Here is an 18,467-nt window from a genome sequence, read left to right as displayed (position 1 = left end):
CAAATGCTATGTAAATAGTTTTTATACTATATTCTTCAGGGAAAAATGACAAAAAAAGTCTGTACATGTTTACTCCAATTGCAGTTTTTTTTTTTTTCTGAATATTTTCGATTCTTGGTTGGTTGAATCCACAGATGTGGAACCCAGTGAATATGGAGGGCTGACTGTATTACCAATCCAGGCATTTCTAGAGAGGTCAGGATTCTGGTATATAAGGAAAAAGGGGACCTAAGTAGTTTCAGAGGTAAAGAAAGGATTTTTTCTGACCACCCTTGTGGCTTTTTGAGCTTTTTAGTTTCAGTTTATGAAAATGACTTTTTCTAATGTTTCAAGTTTATTTTCATAACTAGGAAATTAAAGCTTATTTTAAATAATAGAATTTTGTTTTATTTATTTTTATTTTATCTCGGCTCACTGCAACCTCTGCCTCCCAGGCTCAAGTGATTCTCCTGCCTCAGCCTCCTGAGTAGCTGGGACTACAGGCATGCGCCACCATGCCCAGCTAATTTTTTGTATTTTTAGTAGAGATGGGGTTTTACCATGTTGGCCAGGCTGGTCTTGAACTCCTGACCTCGTGATCTTCCCACCTTGGCCTCCCAAAGTGCTGAGATTACAGGCACGAACCATCGTGTCCAGCCTCAATAATAGGATTTTATTAAGTTTTAATAAAATTTTATAGTAGGCAAAAATACTTCCCATTCTTATTTCATTTTGATTTTTTTTATGTTCCTTTGGGATTTACAGATGAAAAAAAGGAAGTAGGCAAACAGCTAGGAAGGGCAATCCCAGACTTTAACTTGAATCCATGTTTTCACAATCTAGTTCATTCCACTTAGGTAGGCAGCATGGTTAGTAGAAAGGAAAATTAACTTTAGAATCAGACTTGATACAAATTGTTTCCTTACCTAGTAAATATGTTACCTCAGCAAGTTACTTCTTTGAAATTGTAGACTAAGCTTGTCCAACTCCTGGGCTGCGTGTGGCCCAGGATGGCTTTGAATGCAGCCCAACAAAAATTCGTGAACTTTCTTAAAACATGAGATATTTTTTGCCTTTTTTTTTTTTTTTTGCTCATCAGCTATTGTGTGTTTTATGTGTGGCCCAAGACAGTTCTTCTTCTTCCAGTTAGGCTCAGGGAAACCGAAAGATTGGATACCCCTTTGTAGACAATGCCATCTCATGGAGTTTGTTTTGATATAAAATGAATGAATTTCAAGATATGGCATATTTTAGTATTAATATTTTCCTCTTAGTATAATTTATACTATATGATAGTATCTCACAAAAGGCTAGTAAAGATGTGCTGTCCTTGAATTATTCATAACATATCACAGTTAATAAATACCAATGTTTGAATATGTAACATTTGTAAGACATTGAGGTTGAAGGTTTTAGTTTTAAAAAAATAATGGTTCAGATTTCTGTGGAGCTTCATAACCAAGTATCTTTTTTTTTTTTTTTTTTTTTGAGATGGTTGTCACTGTGTCACCAAGGTTGCAGTGGAGTGGTGCAGTCATTGCTCACTGTAGCCTTGAACTCAAGCACTTCTCCCACCTCAGCCTCTTGAATAGCTGGGACTACAGGTGTACGCCACCATGCCTAGCTAATTAAAAAAATATTTTTTTGTAGAGATGGGTTTCTTGCTGTGTTGCCCAGACTGATCTTGAACTCCTGCCCTCAAGATATCCTCCTGCCTCAGCCTCCCAAAGCTTTGGGATTACAGGTATGAGTCACTGTGCCTGGCCCCAGGTATTTTTTTTTAAATAACAACTTTATCGAGATAGTCACATACCTGATTAAAGTATATAGCTCAAGGGCCTTGTATGGTGGCTCACACTTGTAATCCCAGCATTTTGGGAGGCCAAGGCAGGCGGATTGCTTGAGCTCAAGAGTTGGAGACCAGCCTGGGCAACATGGTGAAACCCCTTCTCTACAAAAAATTAACTGGGTGTGGTGGCATGCACTTTTAGTCCCAGCTACTTCGGAGGCTGAGGTGGAGGATCGATTGAGCCTGGGAGGTTGAGGCTACAGTGAGCTGGGATTGTGCCACTGCACTCCAGCCTGGTGACAGAACAAGACCCTGTTTGACAGAACAAGCTGTATATATGTATACAGCTCAGTGGTTTGTAGTACATTCACAGAGTTGTGCAGAACATCATCAAAATTTATTTTAGATTTTCATCACCCCAGAAAGAAACTTCATACCCATTAGCAATCATTGTCTATTTCCCACCACCCTCCCTGCCCCCAGCCCTTGGCAACTGTCAGTCTATCACCTGTCTTTTTTTATTGACCTGTTCTGGATATTTTATATGCACTGAATTTCACTTAGCATGTTTTCAAGATTCATGCATGTTGCAGCATGTGTTGGTGCTTACTTTCTTTTTCTGTCCATATTCCATTGTATGGATGTATGTCACATTTTGTTTATACATCCAATTATCTTTTGATGGACGCTTGGATTGTTTCTATGTTTTAGCTATTATGAATAATGTTATGACAATTCATGTACAGGTTTTGTGTAGACAAATGTTTTATTTTCCTTGGACAAATACCTCGGAGTGGAATTGCTGAATCATGTGGTGCCTATATTTAACCTTTTGAGAAACTGCCAGACTGTTAAAATGGCTGCAGTGTTTCATATTTCTACCAGCGGTGTATGAGGCTTCCAATTTGTCTACATTCTTGCCAGCATCCATTGTTGTCCTTTTTAGTGGAGCCATTACAGTGAGTGTGAAGAGGTATTTCATTGTGCTTTAGATTTGCATTTCCCTGATGGCTAATGAAGTTAAACATCTTTACATGTGTTCATTGACCGTGTGTAAATATTGGAAAAATGTTTATTCACATCCTTTGCTCAGTATTTAATTGGGTTATTTGTCTTTTTCTTGCTAAGTTGTAGGAGTTCTTTATATATTCTAGATACAAGTCCCTTATCAGATCTATGATTTGCAAATATATACAAGTCCCTTATCAGATCTATGATTTGCAAATATATACAAGTCCCTTATCAGATCTATGATTTGCAAATATATACAAGTCCCTTATCAGATCTATAATTTACAAATATATTCTTCCATTCACTGCAATCTAGTTATATCAAGGCATAGTTTATTATGCTCCTGAGAAGGAGAATCAGCACTTATAATAATTTTAACAATTAATTTCGTACTTAAAAAACTGGCTATATCCAGCCTTATTGGAAACAAGAAAAAAAAAATTAAAAACTAGCTTATAGAAAAAGACATTTGCAAATATTAATTTTCTAAGTTGAAAATTTCATGAACTTTTGAAAAGTTGGGTTTCTGTTTTCCTTTATGTGTATTTACATAATGAAACTTATTATCCTGAAATGACTAAAAACTTGTTTAGAATATGTCTATAGAATGGATATAGCTTGCAGTTTGGAAGAATTAAATGTCAGAGATTCATGGGTTCAGTCAATGTCATATAAATATTTAATATTGATATTCTAATTGAACTTAACAGAATTTGGTAAATGTCAGTTTAAAATTTTTAAAATTACTAAACTCTTCCTTGGCGTTTTGAGGGATGTAGGGAATGTATTTTTCTAGTGCTAATCCGTATAGAAAATTGAGACTATCCAAAACTAAGGGGGAAAAAAGAAAAACCATACACTGATACTACTATTCCTGTGAGAGTGTGGTGGTCATTCCTGTGAGGGTGTGGTCACATCCACAGATGGATGTTTTTTCTAAAATTTCTAAACTCCAGTATTTCTTTTTTTTTTTTTTGAGACAGAGTCTTGCTCTGTTGCCCAGGCTGGAGTGCAGTGGCACGATTTCGGCTCATGGCTCACTGCAAGCTCCGCCTCCTGGGTTCACGCCATTCTCCTGCCTCAGCCTCCCGAGTAGCTGGGACTACAGGCGCCTGCCACCATGCCCAGCTAATTTTTTGTATTTTTTTTTTAGTAGAGATGGGGTTTCACCATGTTAGCCAGGATGGTCTCAGTCTCCTGACCTTGTGATCCGCCCGCCTTGGCCTTCCAAAGTGCTGGGATAACAGGCATGAGCCACTGTGCCTGGCCCAGTGTTCTTAAATTCCTTGTTTTATTGTTAGATTTATGAACCAACATATTGGATTTGTGTGTCTGTGACTTGAATTAAGAGCCCAGTAGAACTGGCTTTCAAAAGAAGGAAGTAATACTGTTTTCATTCTGGCTCTTCGGTGTGTAAGTACGGTTTCAAATGTAAAAACTTCCCCAAGAGTGACTTATGTGTAAACTATGGATAATCAGCTCTCCATTTTATGATGACTTGCATAATTCAAAGTTGTAGATTGGGGCTGCTCTTTCTCAGGGATACTAGTATTTTGGGCAGGGTATGCATTGCTACGGAAGCTGTCCTGTGCATTATAGGATGTTGACAACACTCTGTCTACCCACTAGACCCCAGTGATACCCTCTTCCCAGCAAATATGACAACCAAAAAGTGTCCCTAGACATTGTCACATGCTGTCTCTGAGGAACAAAACTGTCCTCAGTTAAGAACTACTATAGATAGGCCGGGAGTGGTGGCACACGCCTGTAGTCCCAGCACTTTGGGAGGCTGAGGCGGGTGAATCACAAGGTCAGGCATTCGAGACCAGCCTGGCCAACATAGTGAAACCCCGTATCTACTAAAAATACAAAAAATTAGCCGGGCATGGTGGCAGGCACCTATAATCTAAGCTACTCAGGATACTGAGGCAGGAGAATCGCTTGAACCTGGAAGGCAGAGGTTGCAGTGAGCTGAGATCGTGCCATTCCACTCCAGCCCAGGCAACAGTGTGAGACTATCTCAAAAAAAAATTTTTTTTCTTTAAAAAAAAAAACTAGATAAATTGTTTTTTGTTTGTTTGTTTTTTGAGATGGAGTTTTGCTCTTGTTGCCCAGGCTGGAGTGCAATGGCGTGATCTTGGCTCACTGCAACCTCCACCTCCTGGGTTCAAGTGATTCTCCTGCCTCAGCCTCCCAAATAGCTGGGATTACAGGTGCCCACCACCACGCCTGGCTAATTTTTTGTATTTTTAGTATAGACAGGCTTTCACCATGTTGGCCAGGCTGTTCTTGAACTCCTGACCTCAGGTGATCCGCCCACCTTGGCCTCCCAAAGTGCTGGGATTACAGGCATGAGCTACCACGCCCAACTGTTTTGTTTTTGTTTTGAGACGGAGTCTTGCTCTGTTGCCCAGGCTGGAGTGCAATGGTGCAATCTTGGCTCACTGCAACCTCCGCCTCCAGGGCTCAAGTGATTCTCCTGCCTCAGCCTCCCAAGTAGCTTGGATTGTTAAAATGAGTATTACCATTTATATTCTAAACTTAATTTTGACAGGAATAAAATTGACCAGTTTCACTGTTTGACATGTGTTCTGCTTTTGAACATTATCAAATACAGGCACTCAATATCTAGGAGGCCAGAAAGAAACTAAAGAAAGGGTGTCAACAGTTTAAATAAACTCTGGGTAAATGAATTATTCAACTGCTAGCTCAGTGCTGACGGTATGGTAGGTATGTTTGTGTGCGTATATGTGTGTTTAGTAGGCATATAAGGAAATACAGGTATTTGAACATCTGAGATTTCTTGTACCAAGTGGTGCTTCTTGTTGCCCATATTGCAAAAGATAACTTGGCACACCTCTTTTGTGTGAAAACAGGTTAGGTTTCTTTGGAATTAACGTTGTTTGAAAGCTTTAAGTAAATAGCCAGAATGTACAAGTTGTTCCTAGGTTGTCCAGTGTCTGAGTCAGGTCGCTGAAGAGACTGTTATAATAAAGGTCTTTAATTAGCTGAAGTGGTAAGCTACTAGGTTTTGTTCTTGGTACCCATTTATTTTTTGTAACATGTATACTTCTCTTTATAAGCAAGAATTTTTCTAATTGCAAGCTCTGAGGCCCTTTTCTTTTTCTTTCTTTCTTTCTTTTTTGAGACAGGGTCTCACTCTGACCCAGGCTGGAGTGCAGTGGTGCAATCTTGGCTCACTGCAACCCCTGCCCCTACCAGGTCCACACAATTCTCCCGCCTCAGCCTCCCAAGTAGCCGGGACTATAGGCATTACCACGCCTGGCTAATTGTTGTATTTTTTGTTTTGTAGAGTCGGAGTTTCACCGTGTTGTCCAGGCTGCTCTCGAACTCCTGGGCTCAAGTGAGCCGTCTGCCTCGGCCTCCCAAAGTGCTGGGATTACAGGCTTGAGCTACCATGGCCGGAGGCCCTTTTCATAGATCTTGTACATTCCTTGTGGCCCCAGTTTGAGTTAAAAGAGGGGAGGCTGTTATACAGGACTAGGGACGTAGATTTTTCAGTTTATTAGTGCCTTGGGGTGATTATCAGCCTTCCACAAGTGAAAAAACATTTAAGAAGGAAAATATTTTATTCAGTTATAAGTAGATTGGCAGGAATTCTTGTTTCTGAAGATATTAAAACATTCTACCTTTTAAGTCTTCTGAAATGAAAAATTGTAATGCTTCTCTTGAATAGCTCACCTGAGTCTTAAGAGAATCATATGTTGTTGTTAAAAGTTAGAATTTTATGACTCTTGCCTTGAACTAATTTTTCACCTAAAATGACTCATGGAATTTTGGATAATTCCCACTTTGGATCCTTCTTATTTAGGCTTACTGTCTTGTTTTTCTTATGTTGTGAATGACCATCCCTGTTAGGACTGATTTACCAAGAATTCTCAATGCCAGCATGAGATACCTGGAATTTGTGCATAAGTAAGATATAGAGATTTTTGTTAACCCTGATTCTTATTTCAGTTATTCTCTACAGTTTGGGATGGGATGCCCAGATCCTCCTTTTAGAAGTGACAGCTCCATAGTGGTTGTGTGGCATACTAGGTAGTTTAGCTGTCACCAAAACTACTGCCTTGACTCTGGCATGCTAAGCTGAGCTGGCCTAAAGAGAGAGTCTGCAGGCTTTCTAGGCCTGGCTGTTTTTACTGAGGTGGGGCTTTTTGGTGAGTCAGCCAAATGGAGGATTTTGGAGGACTGTATTGAAAGAGAGGAATCGAGCAAAGGGGAAACGTTCTAAGGGGCCTAGGGATGATACTAATTTTGAGGCTATGATGAATGATACAGACTTAAATTGAACAGGAATGTGGGGGGCAGTACAGTATTGGAGAGCTAATCCTGGGATCCTAGAGGAGGACAAAGTAAGGAGAGCGAGTGGGAGGAAACCACTTAACATCAGGGCTGTCATTGTGGCCTAAAGGTTGATCATTTATTCTTCTGGAATGCAGACCTCCCTTAGGGTCCTATAATCACAGCAAATCGCAAAGTAATGAGTATAGAGAAAGCAAAAATAATTAAAAAGAAAATAATGGAAAGGATTACAAAGTTAAGAGAAGGCTTAAAAAAGGAATGAAATATAGGGTTGGATAAAAGAAAAGGAAATAGTTAAAACCTTTTATAATAACCATATGAAATAGGAGAAGTAAAATAAGTAGTATTTAAGATAAAAAAGTAAAAGGCAGATAGAAATATTATTAGTTAAATGAAAAAGTTAGAACCTAGAAATAGAGAATAAAAGATGTAGTTTTTAAATATGCTGTGAATTTAAAATCTTTTTATGTATCAATAAAAAAGACGTTAAAATCCTCACAGCATTCTGTATTTTTTCTTACAGCACTGATCATCATCATAATTAAATAATTATAGGACTAAGTATTTATCTCCCCTCCCTGTTTATAAGTTGCGTGCTAGTATGGAATGTGCAGTATTAGCAGAGTCTAGCAGAGTGCCAGCACTTATGTATTCAGTAATTTCTTTTTGAGTTAAAAAGCAACAGAGAATGTTAGTTATCCCTAGAAATTTTGTTGTGTGAAATTAGAATTTAAGGTAAGAAACTCTAAAGAAAGACAAAGTTTTTAAAAAGAGGATAAACTAACGTAGGCTATGAAAAAATGCAGAACAATTAACAAATGTCTCAGCAATCAAATTCTAGCATAATGTTTAGTTTGCTGAGCTTTATTATAAAATATCAATAATATGTGACAAAACCAAACAGTGGAAAGAAAACATGGTAGGGACCTCAATTCTTCTGTCTTTTCTTGTCCCTCACAAAGAGACACTTGGGACTGAGGCCCTTCTGGGGCACTTTGTGGCTTTCTCCTTGGGGATAGTGCTCTTGGAGCTGACCTCTCTCCCTTTTCTAATGTAAAATTCGTATAACATAAAATTAATCATTTTAAAGTGAGCAGTTCAGTGGCATATAGTACATTCATAATGTTGTGCAGCTGTCACCTTTATCTAATTCTAAAACATTTTTGTCACCCAAAACAAAACTCAGTACTCATTAAGCCGTTACTCTCATCTCCCCTTCTCCCCAGCCCCTGGCAACCACCAATCTGTGTTTTGTCTGTATGGATTTTTCCTGGCCCCTGTTTAAACTGTATCCATTGGAGAGAGATATGCTATGACCAAAAAGAAATTATTGGGCTTTAAAGGTCTGGATAGTACTGACACTCAGAGTTGTATCTCTTTTAGGTATAAATTTATTTTTCAAATAGCATTTTAAAATACTTTGTATTAATACTATTTATATATGCATTTTGTTCTAATTTCATAATTCTTTTAATTTTTTAGTTTTCTAACTATATAATTCCATTGATGGTTACCTATAGTAATCAGATATTTATGTGTTATTTGCATTTGTGTCTTTCTACATGAAAACAGGGTTACTCAATATTGCACAGTTGACATTTTGGACTGGATGATTTTTTGTTCTAGGGGCTAGCCTTTGCATTGACGAATATTTAGCAGCATCTTTGGCCTTTACACACTAGGTGCTAGTAATACCTCTCCCCAATTGTGACAACCAAAAATGTTTCCAGAGGTTGTAGAATATCCCCTCAGGAGCAAAATTGCCCCTTGGTTGACAACCACTGCATTACAATAATTCTTCCTGAGAATTTGGCTTCCTCTTTCAGTAGAAAGAGACAATTAATACATTATGTGTTAGAAACCATCATCTAAGAGTGATAAAGGAGAATTGCTAGATCACCCATATAACTTAGTCATGCATTTTTATAATCTCAGAAACTGTTTTAATTCTTTTAACAATTTTTAGTTTTAAGTTTTGATTCTTTTTTGCAAATACCCTTCCGGCTGATTGTGTGAGGGTCTTTCCTTGTTTGGCTATGCAGTGCTAAAGGAATTCCACTTGATTGCCTAATGGGAAGTCATTTCATGGAAAAAGTAAATACAGCCATATGAGTTTGTTTGGAAATACTTGAAATGTTCTCTTTTAAATACAATGAATAAAGCATTAAAAGTTGAAAAAAAGGGAAGAATTTTTTTACACAAACTTCCCTTCTTTGATGCCAAAAATACTTTAGACAAACTGTCTTCCAGTACTCCCATGTAACTTACTGATAATAAACTAAATTCTCCCTGGTTGTGCTTCCTGCCTGTTTTCTGAGTGTGTAAAGGCTCTGGTTATTACTTAAAGCTTACTATTTCTCAGTAGTCACACGTTAAATGAGTTAAATTTTAAAAGGAATATTTTGTTTGATGTAAAATTTGCTTCAAAGTAAATATGTAGCCTACTTAAATATTATAATTATCTTAGATTTCATATAGAGTTGAAAATGATAATTTTTAAGGGTTGTACTCCTATCCCCCAGTTTTCTAACTAGTTTGTGGTTCTACTTGGGACTAATAAAATATAATCGGGGCCAAAACTTTGAGGGAAATAAGATGAGGGTGGGGTGATGGTGGTGGAAGATAGCCAAAAGAGATGTTTAGTGTAATATCACTAGATGTGATTGGTTAGTGTAGTAGAGTTGAGAGAGATCAGCTCTCAATTGGGTTTTTACTGGGCATAAAATATTTAATAAGGCCATGAAAAGAAAGAAAATTTCATAATGTGGAGCTTTGGCAGCTTTCTCTGTATGGTAAAATTCCATTTCAATAAGTTGTGTCTGTTTCTAGTGCACAGAAAACAGAGATGAAGGCCATTTATATATAATTCTTCATATCTAAATTTTTCCTTAGATATGGAAAGGGGTATCATTAACATAATATGCTTTTATAAGCATATTGTGATTCCGCTAGGAATGTATCTAATATATACATTCTAATCAATTTTCTTATTTAGGGACTATGTTCGGAGTGAACTGGAGTTTGCCTATGAGGGACCAATGTATTTAGAACCTCTCTCTATGAATCGGTTTACCACAGCCTTAATAGGTAAGTATTATAAAAGAATTAAAGTGTAGGTAGGAACCGACCAGTCTTACTAACTTATAAAATTCATGCATACTCATTTTTTTTTAAAACGGAATTCTCAAAAGTGATTCATGGGGACTTTTCCCACATATACCCATTGTTTGGTGGTTTTTTTTTTTTAAGTCTTCTTTTCCCCATGTATAGATTATGTATTTATAGTCATATTGTACATAGTGCACAGTTGCTTGTGTTTTTTTAAGGGTTTTTTAAGTATTTGAGAAGATTAATTTTTAAATAGAGCTAATTATTACTTTGAAAGATTAAAATGAAACACGTAGTATCTTAAATTTACTTATTGCTGTTGAAAGCCATGACCTTATTGTCAAAAATGAATGTCCGGAAACATCAAGAACTTGAGATGTGATTGAAATATTCAGGTAGCAGAATGTTAAAAATAGAAGTGTTGGCTAAGGCCTAAAAACAATATAGATACAATTTAAAGTGAAGTACCAGACCCCTGCTACCAGAGTGTACCATGCCAAAATGCAAAAAAGGAAGTAAGAGAAAACCTGTTTTGTGACTTTGAAACTCACCCATGTAGAAGGTGTTAACAGGCCTAATATTAGAGATTAGAGGAGGATTTCTTCAGAGAGAACTCTTTTTTTCTGAAATACTTCCCCAGCCCTTTACACTAGAGGATTCACTGGGGGACCATTTGGGGAGTTATGTGTCTTGTGTGGTGAAGGGGGGAATGCTGTGGACTGGTGTCTGACTCACCCTGGAACATCTTTTTTTTTTGAGTTACACTTTTATTTTTATTTTCTTACATTAAAAAACTTTTTTTTTTTTTTTGAGACAGAGTCTTGCTCTGTCGCCCAGGCTGGGAAAACATTTTTTAGATAAGTTTCTGGGGGAACACATGGTGTTTGGTTACATGGACAAGCTCTTTAGCAGTGATTTCTGATATTTTGGTGCATCCGTCGCCTGAGGAGTGTATGCTGTACCCAATGTGCAGTCTTTTATCCTTCACCCACCTCTCACCTTTCCAGGAGGCCAGAATTCCACTATATCATTCTTGTGCCTTTTCAGCCTGCAAAATCTAAAACTACATTGTCCAAAACTAGCCACATGTGGCTGGTTAGCACTTGCAGTGTGGTGAATTGAGATTAAGGTGTGCTGTATGTGTAAAGCACATACTCAATTTTGAAGACTTGGTACAAACCAGGTTAACTTTTAATACATCTTGTTAACTTTTAATATAGATTGAATGTCTATATGATGATGTTTAGGATATGTTAGGTTATATAAAATATATTGTTGATTTCACTTGTTTCTTTTTACTTTTTGAAATGACACTAATAGAAAATTTAAAATTATATTTGGCTTACATTATAATTCTAATCTGATATAAAGGACTAGCAATAGACTAGTTGCTTGTTGAGTGTTTTGACTGTGGAATGAAAATGCCTTATAGGGTTTTCCTGTATCTTCTGATACAGGAAATTGTAGAGCAAAGGATGTAAGTTTCTTGTGAACTAGACAGTGGCCCCGAAAGTCTGTGTAGGATTTTCTTGGGTCCTGTTCAAGAAGGCCTTTTAGATGGATGAGAAGACCTCAACAGGGATTGACCTTCCAGATTCCCAGGAGCTGAGAAAAGAGCCAAAAATGGCCAGTTGAGGGTGTATACCAAGCACCAAGGGTACTGCTGCAGGTGAGAGAGCCACAGTGATAGGAACGGTTTCAGAAGAACCCATAAAAGGGTCCAGGGGAAAATAAATCAGTTTTAGATACCTCAAGTCTAGGAAGCACCAGTAACAACCACATCATTGTAAGAGTCCAGTTAAGTAGGAACCTGCCTACTTCCCTCCCTCTCCTTCTTCCCTACCCACTTCAATCCTTGGTAAGTCAGAGAGAGAGGGAGAAGTGCTAGGTCAAAAAAGAGAAAGAAGCCAGCCACAACCTCCCCACCTTCTCTCCCACTTGCAGGTTTTCTATCTTAAAGCATAAAGGTAAAAATTAATGCTTTCCCTAGAATGCCTGAACTCTAGAGTAAGGGATAAGTCTCAACTTTAAATCTGTTTGAAAGTTTCAGTTATTATTAAATTGAGACAGTAACCTAAGCTAGAGTAGAAAAGTTATGGGACTTGCCTTGGATTTTATCTAGGGGCAGGAAAACCACTAATCTCTACAGAGTGGATTTTAAAAGACAGCAGAGGACAAAAATAATGTTGCTTTATGACTATCGTTATGAGTTGGCATATTTATTAACGGTAACATTCAATAATGAAGATATTTGCCAAGTTAGAAAGCTTGTAAAGTTTTAGTTTATGATGCATATACTTGTATTATAAATATGAAGCATATTTCTTAAAACTCTTCTTATCAGTGGCCATGGTCTTCTGTTTACTTAACTAAGATTCAACTTTCCAAAGTCCATAAACTATTAAGGAGCATGTTTTCTTCCAACTTAGATTTTAAAATAATTTTCTGGTGTTTTTCTTCATTTCAGTAACAAACTTTTTTGAAAAACTAGGTAATTTTAATATGCCATGATTTCTTAGGGTTGCCAACCTCTTGGAGATATTTCTAATAGTGGAATCCTGAAATCTAAAGAGTACATTGGGATTTTGGTTTATGCAGAGTTAAAAGTTGAAATAGGCAAATCAGAAGACAAACAACTTATTCTTTTGGAACTTCAGGGGAAATTCCACTAACAATATGACTCCTTCCTTCTTTTACGTCAGCAGGAGTAGTCTTCTCTTAAATACGCCATATGAGTCATATTCTTCTATGAAAGAAGATAAAGGGAGCCTGTAACCCCAGCACTGAGCACCACATGTGCTGGCATAGACTTAAGGGAATTTTCAGAGCTTAGAGGAAGTTTACATTGTGCTCAACAAGGACATTTAAATTTCATAGCTATAAACACAGTGAAAGCCAGATCATTTGGTGGCCTCTTGTTTTCTATATAATTAGGAGTTTTTCTTTTCTTTATGCCTTTATGATTATTTTTCACATTACTTTAGTATCAGTTTTTTAAAGGCCAAAATTAATGCTTTGTGAGATAAAATACCGTATGTGTTTATGACATAGTAGATTGTTGTAAGTGTTTGGTCTTATGTAAAAATGGTTGACATTTTTGTATTTTTCTAACACAAATTGAATTTTCCTTATTCAAAATGCTTGGCACCAGAAGTGTTTTGGATTTCTGATTTTTTTACATTTTGGAATATCTGCATTATATTACTGTTTGGAAATCCTTAATCCCAAAATCTGAAATCCAAAATACTCCAATAAGCATTTTCTTGGAGCATAATGTTAGATTTTAGGGCATTTTGGATTTTAGATTTTTGGATTAGGAATATTCAACATGTATATGGATAGAATACAAACAAGTCCCAAATTTTCATTTTGGTTTTCATTGACAAGAAGTGAGAGAATATGATTAATTATTCTAAATTAATCTGGAAAATAACATTCAGTAATCTCCAAGAAATTCTGAAAGGAGCAATGAGAGAGGACTTGTCCAATCAGTATGATGGAGCAGGGTGGTACCATCATTAGAATAGATCACTGAAAACAAAAAGTAACAAGTTCTTATATAGACCTAAATATGTAAAAGATTTTGGAGTTTACTACAGTGGCATTTCAAATTAATGAGAAAGGAATGGATGATTCCAGTAGCCAGTTTTGAGATAACCAGCTAAACATGTACAAAAAACAAACTTCGATCTTTATTTTCTTATTCCACAATAAATCAAATGTATTAATTTTTAAGTTAAAATTAAAAATTAGCTAAAAATTACTAAAAGAAAATACAGCTATTTGTATAATCTTGAGTGGGGTAGCCATGTAATAAGCCATGGCACTAAAGGTGGGTACTATTAAGAAAAAAAATGGTTTGACTATTTTCAATACATACTTTTATAAGAGAATAAAGTTATTTAAAATATTAAGACAAGGGACATATTAGAAAAATGCAATCATGTGACTAAGGATTACTATTTCGATCAGGCAGTAGGATACGTATTCTAGCAGAAAAATGGGCAAAGAATGTGAACATTTCACCAAATAATTGCAAATGTTTTCATATACTTATTGATAATGTTCAGTGCTGTTAGTAACCAACAAAATGCCAATTTAAAAAATTTGGGAAATATTCCCTGTTCTTCCCATCTCTAAATTATACTCACTATGGCAAGTTAATAGAAAAATAGCCACATTATACACTGGTAAATTGTTGCTGGAGGGCAGTCTTGACAGTGTGTCAAAGTCTTTAAAAATGTTTTTTTCTGATTCAGTAATTCCTAGCCTAAGAGAATATTAGGAAATGTGTTCCAAGTAGTTTATACAAGGATGTCATAATGTAAAAGCTTATTCATACAAAGCATTTTATAATTATGGAATATTTGGAAAGGGCTAAATGCAAATATCATGTCACATACATTCAGTGTACCCCAGGGTGTTCTTAGGACTACCTTTGGGTTGTGGGATTATAAGAGACTGAGAGTTTCCCATTTTGTTCTTTGTATTTCTGTGTTTAATGTAATGATCATGCGTAATCCCCAGTGAGAAGAATTTATTTAGTTTTTAGTTTTAACTTATGATTTAGTTATTTGGGGCAGTTTACTTGGCCCTCCAAAAATAAAGATTAAAAAATTATCAGAACAAATATTGTTGCAGTATGATCTTGAACAAGTAATTATATCTCTTGGATTTTATGCTTTCACCTATAGACCAGAACAGTTAAATATTGCGTACCTTTGGAAAAGAAGTTATGTATAAACATTAGCAACTGAATTGTCACAATACTGAATTAGACATTGTTTAAAGTTTTCTTCATATTACACATGGCATCACAGACGACCAGTGGAGATTTATGCTGCTCTTTCCAGATCAGCCCTACAGAATTAGTATTCAAAATTCACAGAACATGTGAATATGTAATTATAGTCAGATGAAGTTTAAGTTTGATTTAAAATATTATCTACGAGATTTTAGTTAGACTTCTTCAAAAGTTGTGTTATTATCCTTATCAACAGTGTTTTTTGTTTGTTTTTATTTTGTGGATGCCAAATACTCAAAATTAAATGTATTCTATTCCCTATTTTAGGTCAGTTGGTGGTGTGTACTTTATGCTCCTGTGTCATGAAAACAAAGCAGATTTGGCTGTTTTCAGCTCACATGCTTCCTCTGCTAGCACGACTCTGCCTTGTTCCTTTGGAGACAATTGTTATCATCAATAAATTTGCTATGATTTTTACTGGATTGGAAGTTCTCTATTTTCTTGGGTCTAATCTTTTGGTACCTTATAACCTTGCTAAATCTGCATACAGAGAATTGGTTCAGGTAAGACTGCTGACAACCACAAACAGGTAGATAAAATTCTACATAAATGTTAAGTACATTAAAGTTATAGTTCATTTTTATTTCACAGTTATGGTACCATTCATTTTTGCAGTTTCAAAACAGCTGCTATTTTCAGCCCAATTAGGAGCATCTGAAAGATTCTTGATTATGTTCTATTGAGAAGGCAGTAAAGTGAAGTGGTTCTCTTAAAGCAGATTTATCTGAGATCGAACCCTGATGCTGCTGTTCACTAGCTGTGTAACCTTGTGATAATTGCGTTACTTTCTGTAAAACGGAGCTAATAATGAAAGCTGTGCTTTCCTCATAGAGTTCTGTGAGATTTAAATGAGTTTAGTACCAGGCAGACAATGTTCCATATGTGTTAGCTATTGTAATGAAGACAAAAATAATAAAGAATTGAATACCTATAAGTCAAATCCTGCTTTTTCCTTCTGATTATAGTCCTACTGTGACTATAGTTTCTTCCCTTTGTGTGCCTAATTTAAACAGAAAAGTTAAATAGTTCTGGGTTATAATATGATAGATTTCATTTAGATATAGTACTTGAATTGACTTTGCCAACATAACATGCTTTTTGTAAAAGTTTCTTCCCTACTTTTTTCAGCCTTTGCTCTAAGATAAATTACTCCCAGATACAAACAATACACATTTGGGAAATAAATGTTTCTGTTTGGTTTAATTGATAGTTTGTAATATATAAAATAGATTTTAACCTGACATTGGTATAAAAAGAGAGTGTTAAAATGTCACTGTCTTCCACCTCTTGACTGTGTCCTTAAGGTACAGGAAGCTCTCAGATAGAACAAACTGATAACAGCTAAGTGAAGTATTCTCTTGTGGCCCCAGGGGCAGATCTTTGAGAATACTTTCTCTAAGCTTTTGGCCTTAGCCTGATTCTATCTTCGTCTTACACAGTGATTAACTTGGGCAGTTTTCCCAGGAGTAGATCTTCCAGAAAAGGGATTATTTCTACAGTCAGTGAAGAGTGGCTTCATGGGGAAGCAGGGCAGGAAGGGTTATAGTTGTATTCAGGGTAATAATGACAAATTTAAGATACATATTTTTTCTTTGAATTCAGTCTTATGAGGGTTATCTTTGTTTGTAATAAATAATGAATATTCAGTAAATACTTATTGAATATTAAATATTTATTGAATAACCTCAGCCTTCATTTTTTAATGTCATGTTTAGTTGGTTGCCATAAGATTCATACATCAACTAGATGTAGTTGTTGGAAATATAGGTTATAAAATGCGTGACCAGGAAAGAATCAGATAAGCAAGAAATGGAAACAGACAGGTTTTTTTAGTGGTCTGTTTCTTGAATGGAAAGGAAGAAAAATATTCTCTGCCTCGTAATGATGAGTTTACCTGATAATAATTTTGCAGCTAGTTGGGCAGTTTCCTTTTTCTTTTAATCTTTTGTCACTGGGGAAAATAGAAGTTAATAGACTGGGTTGTAGAAAAAGCCTTTGCTTTACTGATGAAAGAATTTTAAATTTAGAATAATCTGCAAGTCAATTTATTTTAACTTAATACTTAAAGATGTTTATACCTTATTGAAACATTCTGGTATCACATTGAGAGATTCCAGCAAGACCAGCTGACTGCTAGATACTGGTTTTGTAAGCTGTCCAGCAGAATTCCTGCTGTGTCACCAGGGTCTGGTCCCTGACATAGTAACTCTAGAAACTTGGTTACACCTATGCTCTTAGATTGAATCAGATTCTGTGATTGATTTTTCCTAATCAGTTTCATAAGAAGAGTGTTTTATAAACTGGAAAACTAATTTAGTGAGTTGCAGATTATTAAGCCTTTTTTTTTTTTAAGATATATCCTTTTCCTAGTGTTACTTACACTTGGCAAACCAAATGGAAAAACATAGCTTGATAAAAACACAGTAGGAGGAAGGGGAATTGATGTGTATGGGAGAAAAAGACTTGCTAACTATCTTTGCTCTGCAAAATTTTTTTCCAGTGATTAAGTACTCTTCTTCCATTGAACTGTTTCTCATTTGTGACATTTCTGAATAAACCCTGAAAGTTTTTACTTTTGCATTTTTTTTCCTAGTGCCTCAAGCAGTGTTGTATCAATTCATGCTAGTCCTGATTATTTTGATTAGACATGAGTGTTTACCAAGTCTCCTCAAACTACCTTTTAAGGTTATTTTGTACTGAATATGACCTTATTTTGACCTTATCCCTGAACTATTAGGGCAGTTTACTGTGCTATTAGATAAGTGTGTGTCAAGTGTTAATAATAATGCAAAATTAGTAAGTTTTAAAAAACATGCTATTTATTAACTATATAGGCTAACTTTAAAGGAATTTAGCTGAAACAGTCTTGCAATCAAAGAAAAGCTATTTAATATTTTACTTCTGATTTGACTCAAGTGTTTAAAGTGTTTATTGATGGTGATGCAAGAAGTTTTCCTATCTTACGTTTTTATTTAGGTAGTGGAGGTATATGGCCTTCTCGCCTTGGGAATGTCCCTGTGGAATCAACTGGTAGTCCCTGTTCTTTTCATGGTTTTCTGGCTCGTCTTATTTGCTCTTCAGATTTACTCCTATTTCAGTACTCGAGATCAGCCTGCATCACGTGAGAGGCTTCTTTTCCTTTTTCTGACAAGGTAATTAATAAGAGCCTATGATACTATATATAACCTTAGAAAGAGAAAACTTTGATCTAGGAATAGTAAGTTTTGCAGATTACTTTTATCGTTCATGTTACACAACTTCGTATTTTGTTAAGATAGGATTTTCATTCACTGGATACCTAGGTTTGGCAATGCAGGGAGGTGCTAACATAATAATGTGGTTTATTTGGCTGCACTATGGACCAGAGTGTAGCAAATGATTTGTGGAAAGGTACATAGCAAATCGTAAAAGTATTTTTTCAATTTCAAGTTAAAATTATTGGGTCAATCAGAA

General features: G+C 35.9%; 1 protein-coding gene across 7 annotated transcripts in view; it reads left to right on the top strand.

The window, feature by feature from the left end:
- RNF145 (ring finger protein 145) overlaps positions 1 to 18,467 on the top strand; it is a 52,645-nt gene that overhangs the window by 17,905 nt on the left and 16,273 nt on the right. For all 7 annotated transcript variants that reach the window (NM_001199380.2, NM_001199383.2, XM_017009138.3 and 4 more), the window contains exons 4-6: positions 10,098 to 10,189; positions 15,282 to 15,517; positions 17,991 to 18,166. In NM_001199380.2, the coding sequence (NP_001186309.1) occupies positions 10,098 to 10,189; positions 15,282 to 15,517; positions 17,991 to 18,166 (504 nt within the window). The remainder of the gene's footprint in view (positions 1 to 10,097; positions 10,190 to 15,281; positions 15,518 to 17,990; positions 18,167 to 18,467) is intronic.

This window comes from Homo sapiens, chromosome 5, assembly GCF_000001405.40.
Source record: "Homo sapiens chromosome 5, GRCh38.p14 Primary Assembly".
In the NCBI taxonomy this organism is placed as follows: domain Eukaryota; kingdom Metazoa; phylum Chordata; class Mammalia; order Primates; family Hominidae; genus Homo; species Homo sapiens.
This window is presented reverse-complemented; position numbering and strand designations above follow the sequence as displayed.